Source organism: Homo sapiens, chromosome 6 (assembly GCF_000001405.40).
Source record: "Homo sapiens chromosome 6, GRCh38.p14 Primary Assembly".
In the NCBI taxonomy this organism is placed as follows: Eukaryota; Metazoa; Chordata; class Mammalia; order Primates; family Hominidae; genus Homo; species Homo sapiens.
Genome location: NC_000006.12, coordinates 146,158,710 through 146,172,871, shown reverse-complemented (window position 1 = coordinate 146,172,871; position 14,162 = coordinate 146,158,710). Strand labels below are relative to the sequence as shown.

General features: G+C 35.8%; 1 protein-coding gene and 1 pseudogene across 7 annotated transcripts in view; both read right to left on the bottom strand.

The window, feature by feature from the left end:
* GRM1 (glutamate metabotropic receptor 1) overlaps positions 1 to 14,162 on the bottom strand; it is a 409,895-nt gene that overhangs the window by 264,730 nt on the left and 131,003 nt on the right. For all 7 annotated transcript variants that reach the window (NM_001278065.2, XM_017010784.2, XM_011535782.2 and 4 more), the window contains one exon: positions 13,275 to 13,524. In NM_001278065.2, coding sequence (NP_001264994.1) covers positions 13,275 to 13,524 — 250 coding nt within the window. The remainder of the gene's footprint in view (positions 1 to 13,274; positions 13,525 to 14,162) is intronic.
* FUNDC2P3 (FUN14 domain containing 2 pseudogene 3) lies at positions 803 to 1,587 on the bottom strand (annotated as a pseudogene).

The following is a 14,162-nucleotide window of genomic DNA, read 5'->3' as shown; positions in this document are numbered from 1 at the left end:
CTTTCTGTGAAAAGTATAAAGTGTTATACATTTTTCAATTTTTTAAATCCAAATGCCATTAAATATGACAAAAACAAATTCTAGGACTATAAAAAATACTGTTTTAATTTCAGACCACTAACCTACCCTCTAAGACTCATATGCTGCCTTGTGGAAATATAGTGCCCTCATCCCAACCCCACATTGAGTATCACTGTGCTAAGACCTTTCTTGGCTATCCCTCACCTCATATAGCTTTAAGATTCTTACTTTTTATCAAGTTCTTCCCTCAATCTACCAATCTCTTAAGGCTCCCTCACTCCTCTACCAAATATTTCCTAGATACTGCTTTTTCCACAGACTACTAATACCTGTCCTCTCTTTGACCTTCTGCTCAAAATAATAGCCAGTCAAAGATGTCCATGCTCAAATCTCTGGAACCAGTGAATACATTCGGCAAAGAGAAATTAAGGTGGTAGATAAAATAAAGGTTTCTATTCACCTGGTCTGAAATTAGGGAGAATGTCCTGAGTTATACAGGTGTGCCCAATGTAAATACAATGCTTATTAACAGTAGCAGAGGGAAACAGAAGAGAGAACAAGGGAGATGGCAGTGTGAGGAAGACTCAGCCCAATGCTACTGGCTTGAAAATAGAGGAAGAAGGCTGTGATCCAAGGAATGTAGGCAGAGTTCTACAATCCAAGGAACGTAGAAAAGGCACGCCAATATCTTAATTTTAGCCCAGTGACACTCATTTCAAACTTTTGGCATCCAGAGCTTTTTTGTCTTTTTTTTTCTGAGTAAAGCATATCTTTAATAGTGACTGGAAGGAGAACTAATATCTATTGTCTCTTCTGCCACCATCAAGCTCAAGGTAGGACCATATTAACTTATACCAACAGATGCTTCCCAAAGCCATTTGGATTTGCCACAGCAGGGAGGAAGTCATGGGAAAAGAAGAGGCAGGGCTCTATGCCCTATGATGGAGTATAGAGGCTGGTGGCTGGAAAAAAAACAAGAACAATAGAAATGAGGTCATCCTCCTTATGATGCCATGCCAAGCAGAAGACCTCTGAAAATTTCCCCAGTCATTAGAACATTCTTCTTCACAAATGACACCACCTCCTCAGCTTTGCTCTTGACCTTAGTAGGTATCTGATTGCTTTTATGGATCTTCAGCTGTTCTTTTGCTTTCTTCATGTCCTCCTCTAGTTGTTGCCAGTCATCTTTGATGTACTCAGTATGACTTGCAAGCTGAAGGAGAAAAAATTCACCCCCCCACAGCTGTTGCAGCCAATTTTCAACCTTTTGGAATATGAACTCCATGCATCATCTAGTGAAGCTTCCAATTAACAGCTGGGTTGTCACGGGATACTTTTTAGCCAGAGATCCAGATTCCTGTCCAAACATCTTATTCCCCCATGGCTGATTTTGAGCAAATTCTGCAAGATCCAGAGACTCAAAATTTCCCTCAAAGTGTCCTTGACTGGACATGGCCATTTCAGTGAGCTCATCTCCCAAAAGCACATGCAGAGGATCCACGCTGTAGGATGCAGAGTGGCGTGCAGTTGCCACACCAGGTGGTTTTTGGCACGTGAGGGCCCAGAACTCAATATTAAAATTTTGTATTTTTAAGTCATTAACGTTGTGGTAATTTATTATAGTAGAAAACAGAAAATAAATACATACTTCCTCTGCAACCTTCAACATGGTACCCTACTTACACAGGAGAGTACTCTTAAGCTAGACAAATTTTTATTTGAATATCTTTGCTGTAGTGACTAGGTAAGTGGCTCTGGATAAGTCATCAAATCTCAGTGAGCCATGGTTTTCTCATATATAAAATGCCCCCAGTACACAGCACAAATTCAAAAAAGATTATTCAAGTGATTTCACACTGCAAAAAAATAGACTTCAATAAAATAATCTACCCAAGACAAAAAATATAAACAATAACAAAATCAAGCCCCAGAGAAGAGGAACAGGATTAGTATCTGGAATTGTTATAACATATTAACAAAATTTCCAGTTTTTAACCAAAAATGAGATTTTTTTAAAAAAAAGTGTGACTCACATACATGCAAAAAAAAAGCAGGCAACCAAAAACTGCCTGTGAGATGGACCAGATGTCAGCTATAACAAAGTCTTAAAAGTATCTATTATAAATATATTCAAAGAACTAAGGAAACTATGCTTAAAGAAGTAAAAAAAAGGATATAATGACAGTGTCTAATTAAATACAGACTATCAATTAAAAGGCAGAAGTTATTAAAAAACAAGGACCAAAATTAATTCTGGAGTTGAAAAGATAAAGAAAATGAACAGTTTATTAGAAGGGCTCAACTGTAGGTTTGAACTGGCAGAAGAAATATTGAGTGAATCAATAACGATTACAAAACCCAAAGAACAGACAGAAAATAGAACAACAATAAAAACAAAAATGAACGGAGCCTCAGAGAAATGTGAGATACCTTTAAGTGAGTGTACCAACATACATATAAAAAGAGTACCAGAAAAAGTGGAGAAAGATAAAGGAGAAGAAAAAATATTTAAAGCAATAATGGTTGAAAACTTTCCAAATTTGCTGAAAAATCTTTTATCTACATATGCAAGAATGAACTCTAAGTAAGATAAACACAAGAAGATTAAGGCTCAGCATAGTAAAAATGGTTACATGGGATTAAACAGAAAAATCTTGAAAACAGCAAGTGAAAAACCACTGATCATATAAAAAGAAAACCACAGTAATATACAGAAGTAATCCCTTATGAAAAACAAAAGAGGCCAAAAGACAGTTGAATGACATATTCACCATGCTGGAGGGAAAAAAAAGTTGTTAGCCAAGAATCTTATATCCAGCAAAAATATTTTTCAAAATTAAAGGTGAAATAAAGACATTCTCAGATAAACAAACATTAGAGAAAGACAAATCAAAACCACGTGAGATATCATTTTATGCTCACTAAGATAGCTATATAAAAAGGACAATAATGATAACAAGCCTTGGTTAGTATGTGGAAGCTTCATACATTGCTAGTAGGAATGTGAAATGGTGGCCTCCTGCCTTCAACAACTAGAACACGAAATAAAATATATGAACCAACTGTTATCAGACATTGTATAAATGTCAATATAGGACTATAATTCTCCAGAAAAGTAAAATCAAAGAGATGAACCAAATTGCCCATGTTACTGTCTGGTGGTAGTCTCTAGGCTGCAGAACAGGGCGGGGGAAATTCAGCGAAAAATAAGAAAACAGGGATCAGAGTTTGGGAAGGTTGAAGCAGGTAGACTTACTGGGACAGAGTACCAAAAAGGAGAAAAGTGGGTTGAAAAACAAATCTTTGGAGGGATTCCCTCCAGTCTTTAGCTAAGTTCTGATGTACACATATCTGAGAAGAAAATATCTAAGGCGGGAGAAAGACTCACTGGAAAACATAGAACAAACAAATCCTGGAACTTACACAACACTGAGAACAGCACATACCCCATAAACTGCAGTGGAAAGCCTGCCTGGCAAGACAGAGAAGGACATTAAAACAACTACTCTAAATATGTTTTTATATATCCCAGAAGAATGACCATGTTAAGAAAAGAAATAGAAAGTAAACAAAATACTCAGGTATAACTTTTAGAGATGAAAAATACAATATCTGAAATTTTAAAATTACATGATGGGATTAACGGCAGATTAGATGTTGCAAAACAAAAGATCAGTGTACTCAAAGTTATAGCAATAGAAACTGTTGAAAATGTAAAAGAAAAAAGTGGAAAATAAATAAATAGATAAAATTTCTATGTAAAAATGTCAAGAAGTCAAACACATATAAATGGAATCTCAGCTAGAAAGAATATAACAACAAAGGCAGAAATAATATTTGAAGAAATAATGGCCATTTTTCCAAATTTGATCACACTTAATCTAAAACGTTCAATAAGCCCCAAGTCCCATAAATATTTAAAAACTACATCAAGGCTTATCATAATAAAATGACTCAATACTAGTGATAAGGAAACATGCTTAAGAGCATTCAGTGATAATACATATTAGAGAAACAAAGGTAAAAAGAAGTACAGCAGATTTCTCATCAGAAACCATGCAAGTCAAAGTATAATTAAGTAATATCTCTAGAGTATTGACCATAAAAGTCAACTATCAACCTAGAATTCTATACTAGGCATTTTTCTTTCATTAAGACAAAATTAAAACATTTGCAGGCAAAACAAAAAGTAGAAGAAAATGTGTCTCAGTAGATAAGTCCCACAAGTGATGTTAAACGAAATTCTTTAGGCAGAAAAAAAATAATCCAAATGAAAATATGGATTAATACAAAGGAATGAAGAAGGTCATAAATAGTTTTTATACGGGTAAATATAGAAGCTAATTTTTCTCATTTTTTATTTCTTGAAAGATAATTCACTATTTAAGCAAAAATAACAATGTATTTTGAGTTTAAGAATAGATATAGAAATAAAATACATAATAACAATAGAATCAAAAGTCAGGGAGAAATAGAAATTTACTATCATAAACTTCTTATATCATATGTGATGCAGTATAATATTCTTGGGACATGGGCAATAACAACGTAAAGAAGTATATTTTAAACCCTAGATCAACTATTCATAAAATAATTGTCATAGCTAGTAAGCCAAAAATAGAGATAAAATTGAATGCTAAAAATTCAATTAATCTAAGATAAGAATACACACACACATATATTACATTATTTTTAACAAAATGTCAAGTTAATTTAGTGAAGAAATAATATTTCTTCTAGTAAAATGTTCTCAAACGACTGGGATATTCTTACATAAAAAGAACATTCACCCTTATGTCACAACATATACAAAAATTAGGCCCAAATGAGTCATATATCTAATATGAGGGCAAAAAATATAAAACTTTTAGAAAAATGTTTGTGACCTTGGAGGAGGTAAAATATTTTTGATAGAACACAAAGAATATAAACCATAAAAGAAGAAATTGATAACTACACTGTTAAAATTCAAAATGTTTCATCTTCCAAAGACACTCAGCAGAATACAAATTTCAGACACATATTGAGAGAAAATATTTATTATACACATATACGATAAATCACTTGTGTCCAGAAATTATAAATAACTTTTACGACTCCATAATGAGAAGATAAACAACCTGAAAATCCAAATGGACATAGATGTGAAGGATATTTCACCAAAAAAGATACTAAAATGTCAGATAAGTACATAAAAATGCTCAACATTATTAGTCATTAGGAAAATGCAAATTAAAACCACAAAGAGATGCCACGATACACCCACTGGAATAGCTAAAAGTCAAAAGACTGACAATACTATTTTGGTGAAGATGTGGAGGAATTAGAACTCTCATACATTGCTGGTGGAACTGCAAAATTATATGGCCACTTTGGAAAATAGTCAATTTCTTATACAGTAATTGACAAGGTTAAACACACACTTATGACCCATAATCTCACCCCTAGATAGTTCCTAAAGAGAATTGAAAATACATGTCCACACAAAGACTTGTACAAGAATGTTCACAGCAGGACTATTCAAAATAGTTACAAATTAGAAACAATCCAAATGTCTATCAATAGGTAAATGGATAAGCAAGTTGAGATATATCTATGCCATGGAATCCTACTCAACAATAAAGAGGAAATTAGTAATATGCCCAACAGCATGAAGGAATCTCAAAAGTATTTTGTCAATTGAAAGAAATCAGACACAAGAGACTACATTCTGTATGATTCCTTCTATGTGAAATTCTAGAAAAAGCCAAAGTGTAATGCCGTGGTTGCCTGTTTCCAGGGGTTGCAGAGGAGAGACTGCAAGGCGGTACTAAGAAACATTGTGCAAGCATTCTACATCATGATTGCTTTGGTGCTTATGTCACTGCGTAGAGTTATCAAAATCCATCAAATAAACACATAAAATTGGTGAATTTAGTAAAGCTAATTTGAAGAGCACATATAAATTACTAAGTCCCTTCCCCAGCATATTAAACTGGAATCTGAAGAAGGTGGAGCCCAAAACCTAAAGTTTTTAAAACCTCCCCAGTTTTATGATGTAGACAGATAAGTGGTTATGGAGAGAGTCTAACTTAAGGAACAATTCAGTCATCAGACCCCATTCTGGTAATTAGCAAGAGAAACTTCATTGGTAGGCCCCAGGCAACTCTAGACTCATAACCTTGAGTTATGTTTAAATGCTCCTACTTTGCAATTTGATTAGTCAGAAAACTGGAACATGACTGTGTTTTCAGAGGGCAGGTCAGTAGGCCAATTTGGGCAGCAGGAGAAGACACCAACACAGGAAATAAAGAGAACTGCAAATTGTTTTTTACTACTCCGACTACTATTTACTAATCTCAAATGTATCTGTAGTTTAAGACAAAAACCTTGAAGGCAAGTAAATTTCAAGAAAGAAAAAAACAGAGCTGAAATGGTAGAATAATGGACAATAGAGTTAACCTTTCACTTTGTCTTCCCTTTCAAATATGCCCCATAAGCAGTTAATTCATAGTGAATGCCACATGAGTGCAAATCCCTGATCTAGGCATCATAAGGTAGTGATTCTGAAAGCTAATTCATCAGACGGGGAAAATAAAAAAAGAAATAAGATCCAAAGTCCTGACCAAGAAATTGTATTGATGGTCTAAGGTGAGATCAGGGAATCTATTTTTAAGTGTGTCTGCTGATTGTGATTTAAACCCAGGTAGGAACTGCCACAAGTGCTACAAGAACATGTTAAGATAAATTCCATATTGTCTCTGATCAGCATCAAAGACAAAATGAGCTGAATCATAATGACATCCTTTTCCGTCTATTCAAATTGGGTAGTGCCATACAGACGCAGACAGCACCAGAAATCCTTTTCCTCAATGTTTTAATACCCTAAAGGCAGGTAAAGACCATGAAAGTGGAATCTTTCACGTTTCAGATGTCCGGTATCTGAAACATGAGACTATAGGTGTTAGAATATAGGAAGGGTTTATAATTACCAACTTTAAGGTAAATCAACCTCCTCAGTTGTTATGGAAATCCTGACCAATTCTGTATCAGAGATCTATACACACGATACCTGTTGATATCTTACAAATAATATTTATTCTCCAGAGTATTCTAAACAAAATTCCTTCTCCTTCCCAAGCAACATTTCTCAGTCTTTTTCTAGCAGTGTAATTTTCCACAAAGCTCTCATTAATCTGTCTGTAGAGCAGTAGTGTTTTAAGAAAAGTATAGCCTGTCTGCAGGTTTGTAATAATTTCCTGCCCTTGGGAGCTGAGAAAAGGCCAAGTCATATATCTGTAAGTCATGACCATTATGCATCAGAAAATGCTTATCTGCCTTGCTGGCCTTCTGATTATAATCCATTTTTGGAGATGTCACACTTCAATGAAAGTCCACATTCTCTTTAAAATAAAATCTTTGCAATTTTTCCTGAATGCTGCAAACTTTAGAGTTTTCCCCATTTTTTTTCCATAGTGGAAACATGAAACTAAAATAACTCATATTTTATTTTTAAAAAGTATATGAAACATAACACCGTGGTATATAATCTTATGTTTCAAGGATATAGAGGTCACTTTCCCAAATGTGTGTTCTGAAAGAAAAAGACCCCAAAAGGTACACAGTAAAAACCAAGTATTTCATTTGCTTTTAAATGAAACTGTAGTCTTCTTTCCAAATAAAGCAATTGCTCCATTTCAACCATTTTTTACACGTGTGTTTGATGTGTTTGTTGTGTTTCAACTAAAAAAGCAGGAGAATAAAATTTTCTTGGATCAAGTTTTAGCTAAAGGGCTGGGGGTGGTGTTTCTCTGCAGTGAGGAGTGATAGAAAGTTGGCCTAATGAGTGAGAAGATCACAGAGTTGCGAGAAGCAATAGATAAAACAGCACACAGTAGTAAGGGACAAGCAATTGAAATGCAAGAACTGTAAAAAAAAAAAGATGTAGTCAGAATCCAGTAAAAAGGGCTAGCAAATATATAAATAAATATGGTACACCTAGTATGTCTAGTCAAAGACTCCTAACAAGGCAGAATGTGAACTTACAGTAAAGGCTTTCCAAGATGAGGAAACCAGGGTGGAGGCTCAGGATAATGCCAACACTAGGCAAAGGACTAAAGTCAGGAGGCTCTCACTCACCCTGAAAGAATAGTGTGTCTTTAGTGGAGCTAAGGTACCGCCAAGGGACCTACTAGTGAGACCCAGTGATGACTCACCAGGCAAGCAGGCATTTTGTGATTAGACAAATAAGACAACCTAAATGGGTTGTTGTTCCAATTTTACAGATGAATTGTTCAGATACAGGCTGATTGAAGAGCATCAACCCTTACCAAACTAGGTAAAATTTACTGATTCTAGACTATCAAAGGGAAATCAGGGGTCACATAATGAGGCTACATGCTCTCTCTACTAGCTATCAAGCTTTTTGATGTAGTTATTAAAAAGTTATCATACCAAAACACTGTGCTAGGCATGAAGGAAAATAAACAACTGTATAAAACTTGGTTCCTACAGTTGAGGAGGTTACAATTCAATACCTATATATGTATATGATAATATGGTTCAGTAGTAAGTTTGAATATTGACTCCACCACTTATTAAACTTAGGAATTTGGAGTAATTATTGAACTTCTCTGCTTTTCAAGTCAACCTTTCAGGGCTGTTTTTGGAACTAGAGACAACATATATTAATAGCCTAGTACCTACCAAACCCTCAATAAATGGTAGCTATTTTTTGTGCTCATACACATAAATTATTCTCAGTTTTACTTTCTTCAGATAAAAAAAAATTTAAGAATTAGAACAGATCCATCAGTTAACTATTAGAATTTTAATAATTATAACTTAGAATTTTAGAGAAATAGCACTCATTCCAAGTTGACTTCTACATAAATATAGTTCTATAGATAAAGCCTGGTGTGCAAAGAGAATGACATTGTAAAGTCCCATGTTAAGATAAAGAAATGAGCTGGAAAAGAGGTTAAATGAGTTATCCGTTAATGAATTATCATAGGAAATATTTAAAACTAAGCATGAAATAAAAGAATGCAAAGAAATAAAGAATAACTAGAAATGTAAAATAATTTTCTCATGGGAGATACTTTAGCTGATTTTCCCAAAGAAGGTGACTCTAAACCGTGAAATAAATCTCTGAAAGAGAGAGCAAGTTAAAAGGAAACTAAGATTAATGCCAATATCTCTTAAACAAAACAATCATGGTAAATCTAGAACTCTTATCTCATGTTTTGTTTTGTTTTTCCATTACCCCACAAACTTACTAATTAACAGCACAGATTCTGATGTTGCAGTCCCTAACTTCAAATCCCAGCACTGGCACTGCAGCACTTTTTGACAAGTTACTGTACTCCGTACATTGAAAGGGGAATAATATTAGTACCTATCTTATCACATTGTTGTGACAATTAAATGAGTTATGTGCAAAGTTCTTAGAACAGTGCTTATATATAGTAAGTCCTAAACAGGTATTATCAGACGCAGGTACATCATCAGCATCACAATCATTATTACAATTATTATTATAGTGAGCATAATTCTGAGAAGCATCTTAAATAAAGCTTTCATAGAGACAAGAAGAAATGATTCTTTTGCACAATGATTAACTTGATTGTGATTAGTTAATTTGCTTGGTAAGAATACTATGCCAATTTATTCAAAGTCAAAGGTTTGATTCTCCCCTGGGTCTGCTGGCTATATTTCATAACAACAGATTTATCCTAATACTGACCAGCTTATTCTATGAATTCTGGTTTTAACGAAGTGGCTGGTGAAGAAATTGATCAGCCCAAATTAATGAATAATATTAGATAAGTCTATAAATACATCCCTACTGATCTTAGATTAGTCATATTGTCTTAATATATTATAAATTCTAGGACTGGAAAAATGTTTAAAGATGATGTGGAGCCAAATATTTTATTTTAATAGAAAAAAATAGGCTCCAAGACAAAAAGCTACTAAGTAAATAAGATCATATAATTGCTTCATGGCATAGCTAGAACTCTTAGTCCACGTTTTGTTTTGTTTTGTTTTGTTTTTTCATTACCACCACATTTTTTCAATATATAATATTTTTATTCTCTATGAGAACTTCCTTTTTTAAAAGTCCATTTTTCTATCAGTATAGTTCATTATTCCATTCTCAGCAGCTCATTCCAAGTGGTCAAATATGGAGCTTTGAAGGCCTTTGTAATGACTTTGTTATGAAATAAATAGGGGGTCATTTTAAGGCATTAGGCATGTGAGGTGATGAGTGACACTACTTGACTTAATTTCTTAGAAGATCACTTTGCCTTCTATGTTAAGACTAGATGGCCAAGAGGTCCGATTCTGAGGTTATCACAATAAGCCAAGGGAAAATGATCGTGGCTTGGACCAGGATGATAGCAGAGGAAGTGGTGACAAGTTGTCCACATCTGAATATGTTTTGATGGTAGTGTCAAGACGAGTTCCAGACACATTGCATGTGAAGTGTGAGAGAAAGTAACAGACATGGAGACGAGGGCATGTAGGTCTTCATTTAAAAAGTCCTAATTTTTTTTTAACCAAATCTCTCCTGCTGCTATCTACACCATGATTTACTATATGAAAAGAAGTTCATGACCACCTACACAATGCCCTTCTTGTGACTCTGGCAGTAGCCAGAATCATACCGTGTGTTACGAAAGAAACCAAACAATGGCTTCTGATCTCAAAAAACTTCAACATTTGGTAGATAAAATCCCTTAGAAAGGGAGGGAGATATATTTGACAGCATTACTAATGTAGCTAGAAGTTGTAGCTTGAGGTTAAACTGTAGCTATTCTGGACATGTCTGCTGACATGAGGGAACCAAGCCCACATGTCCATTGACATGAGTGACAGAGCAGCATTTAGGATAGAATCCATCCCCGATAAAGAGAGGGAATCAGCCACCTGAAGGGAAGGCTACTTCTAAGGATGGCATCGTCTCACTACTTGGCTCTGTCCCCAGCTCAGCTCCTTATGAACTCATATCTGAATGTCATGGAAGGGAGAGAAAATTGTGAGCCAAAAAATTTTAAAGGCTGCTTTCATTAAAATTCTCTAAGATTCGAGATTAAACGCCAACACCATTTTGATAGACACTCGTGGAAAGTAGCCCAGAAGAACAGAGAGACACTTTCCTTCACTTGGCAAAGAGTATGGTATAGCTTTGTCATCTCAATGATTCCATGCATCAGTGACCGTAACTATTAGCACAGAAAGCAGTGTCCTCAGAAGCTCAGGTGTTCATTGAGACAATAGCTCCCTCGGATATGTGGAATCCAGTAGAGGTGGGGCAGGTAAGAGGAATAAAAGAGGTAGACATCACATGTAGCTGACCTGTTCATAGACAAGCACATAAACAAACACATGTGCGACTCTCAGAAATACTTGTATGAGTTCAATTGCATTATTAGGAGGTAAAATAAAAGAGCTAGAAAGACTTAAGTTGCCATTATCATTCTTGTCCAGCTCACAATGGTGACAGGATACATTTTTCACACTCCAATTACACACCGCACAATTTTGTGTAATTATGTTTCATAATTAGGTAGTCTATATGCCCCGAAGCTCACAGGTTTGCCACATCTTTTCAATATCTCCAGAACCCTTTTTTGAGGATATTATAAAAGGAATAAATTCTGCAAAACAGACTACTGTTGTTTTGTAAATTATAAATATGAGAATTTTTTAAAAACAAGCAACCTTCCTAAAAGCAGTCATGTTACAGAGCAATGGAAAGGCCTGAATGTCTGGACACCCTCTGTCCTGGTGCATATATTACTCTGTGTAACACTTCAACAATACTGCTTACCTTCTTTTCACTCCTAAAAGAAATAACATTTCTTATTTAAATACTCCTTAGAAGACCTGCTTTCTTATGAACATTTTATTGGCTTCCAAAAACTGCACCATGTTGAAGACGCCAAGTTGACTCTGTGTGCCAGTGTGCCAATTTTGCCCACATTTAATAATTATCTTAATCATGAATTACAATTTGACCTTGGCTCCACACCTCCTCATGCTTGGAGAGTATCTCTGTTTCTTTATTCATTTATTTGTATTTCTATCCTATTTTCTTTTAAAAAGTCCCTCAAGTGTCTTATACCTCTAATTTCAGGTGATGGCAAAGTTAGTGTTCCTAGAATTGCAGTCATTATTATAAACACAAGGACAAAAGGGAAAGGTCCAGTGAGCATGTCCACACCAGTACTACCTAGCTTCCAGAGCAGAAGATCAGTGGTTGAGGCTCTTTAATGGGTGTGATATGATTGTAGTGTACCCAGAAGAAGAGATGGGAAGAGACAAAGAGCTTCGGAAGATGAGTGTGATAGGGTTGAAGATCAGTAAAGATCAGGTAAACTCAGTAGGTTCCTGGGGAAAACTGAGCAGGTTATTTATGCAATATTAGAAGCTGGCAAATTAAACAAGATATCTGTTAGGTCAAAAGCCCTATGAAAAATCCAGTGATGATGACCATCTATTGCCAAACAAGTACACGTGATTTAGAAAGAGAACAGAAATTTTGGGAGCCACCACCAGCAATTCCAGAAATCACATGCAGAAAGCATCAAAATTAGCTATCTCATAAATGTGACAAGATGATATATTATAAAATTCCACAGTTCCGTTGCATATCTTCACTTGTCTTTAGCCAACTCTGTAAATTTCAAATCTTAATACATATTTTCCATTTTCACTGCTGTCCTTTATCCACTGATATCTCAATAAGATGTTCATGTTTAGGAGGTAGGAAGACATAAGCATCGGCTTGGGTGTGGAGAAAGCAAGTGAAACGAATAATTCTCCAGATCAAGACATATTCTGCCAAACAGCTTTCCATCTTTTTTTTTTTTCTGAAAAAGTATCAGTATCTTGTTATATGCTGCTCTGCTCTTGTTTTTCTTTCTTTCCTTTTTTTTTTTTTTTTTTTATAGTTAAGGTCTCACTCTGTCACCAAGACTAGAATGCAGTGGCACCAATCATAGCTCACTGTAACCTCAAACTCCTGGGCTTAACCAATCCTCCCTCCTGAGCCTTGTTCTGCTGTTGTTTAGCAGGAAGATGCCAATATTCACATTAACAGTGAGATCCAGAACTAATGTTCAGCTCAGCACTGCACATCTCTCCCACTTTGGAGTTAGCAAGTCTAGTTTTGTGAAAGCAAGCATATGTGTTTCAAAGTGTGTGTGTGCATGTGTGTGTGTGAGAGAGAGAGAGAGAGAGAGAGAGAGAGAGAGAGAGAAACTTACCTTCCAATGAGTGAGAACTCGCCCACGACGCCAAGGCGCCGCATGGCGCTCAGGAGTCCTCGCACTGTCATGCCTTCACAGAAGCAGACCACCACTCTAGCCTTGGGAAGCCTCTCTCGGAGTTTGCGCAAGAGTCGGTCAAAGCTCTTCTCCCCAGCGTTGCTGTAGATTTTGTCAGAATGGGCGATACAGAGGCCTTCCTGGGCAGCCAGCTCTTTGAAAGCGTCCATTCCGCTCTCCCCATAATTCCCTGTCCAGAAACAATCAGCAGATGTTCAAGACAACTGTGGCAATAACACTACTTACACAATGGAATAACAACTTGTTAGTCACAGGAATGGAGAGAACGGACTTGCCAAATAATTTGTAAATATGGCTGAGACTGACGGAAGATCTGGATGGATTAAAGAGAGTAATCAAATGTAACCAGACAATCAACTCTGTGGAAATAACGAGAGACGATCTGAGCTAGGGAACCTATAATGAGACATGTTTTATAAAATGAAGGATTGCTGCCCTATTTTACAACCATTATTAATAGTTCTTGTCCCAGATTTTAACCACGTAGGAGAGATCAGTGCATTGGACTAGGGAGGTCAAAGGAGCATGAAGAGAAGCTCTGTTTATTTGAGGACTTGCATCAGCTGGCTGCCAGGTTAAGAGACAGACACTCTTGGTAACATAAAGTCCTGCAACGTTTCCACGAAGAATGAGCAAGCAAAATAAATGGAACACCTGGCCAGGCCAGAGATCAGCAGACCAGAAACAGCTATAGGGCTTTGTCAAAATCCACCATCCTCTGACAAAGTGATGGGATTATGAGAGGTTTGTGTCTTATATTTTGATTTTTGTTTTATAGCATTCTTGTAATAAAATACACTTCAAAAA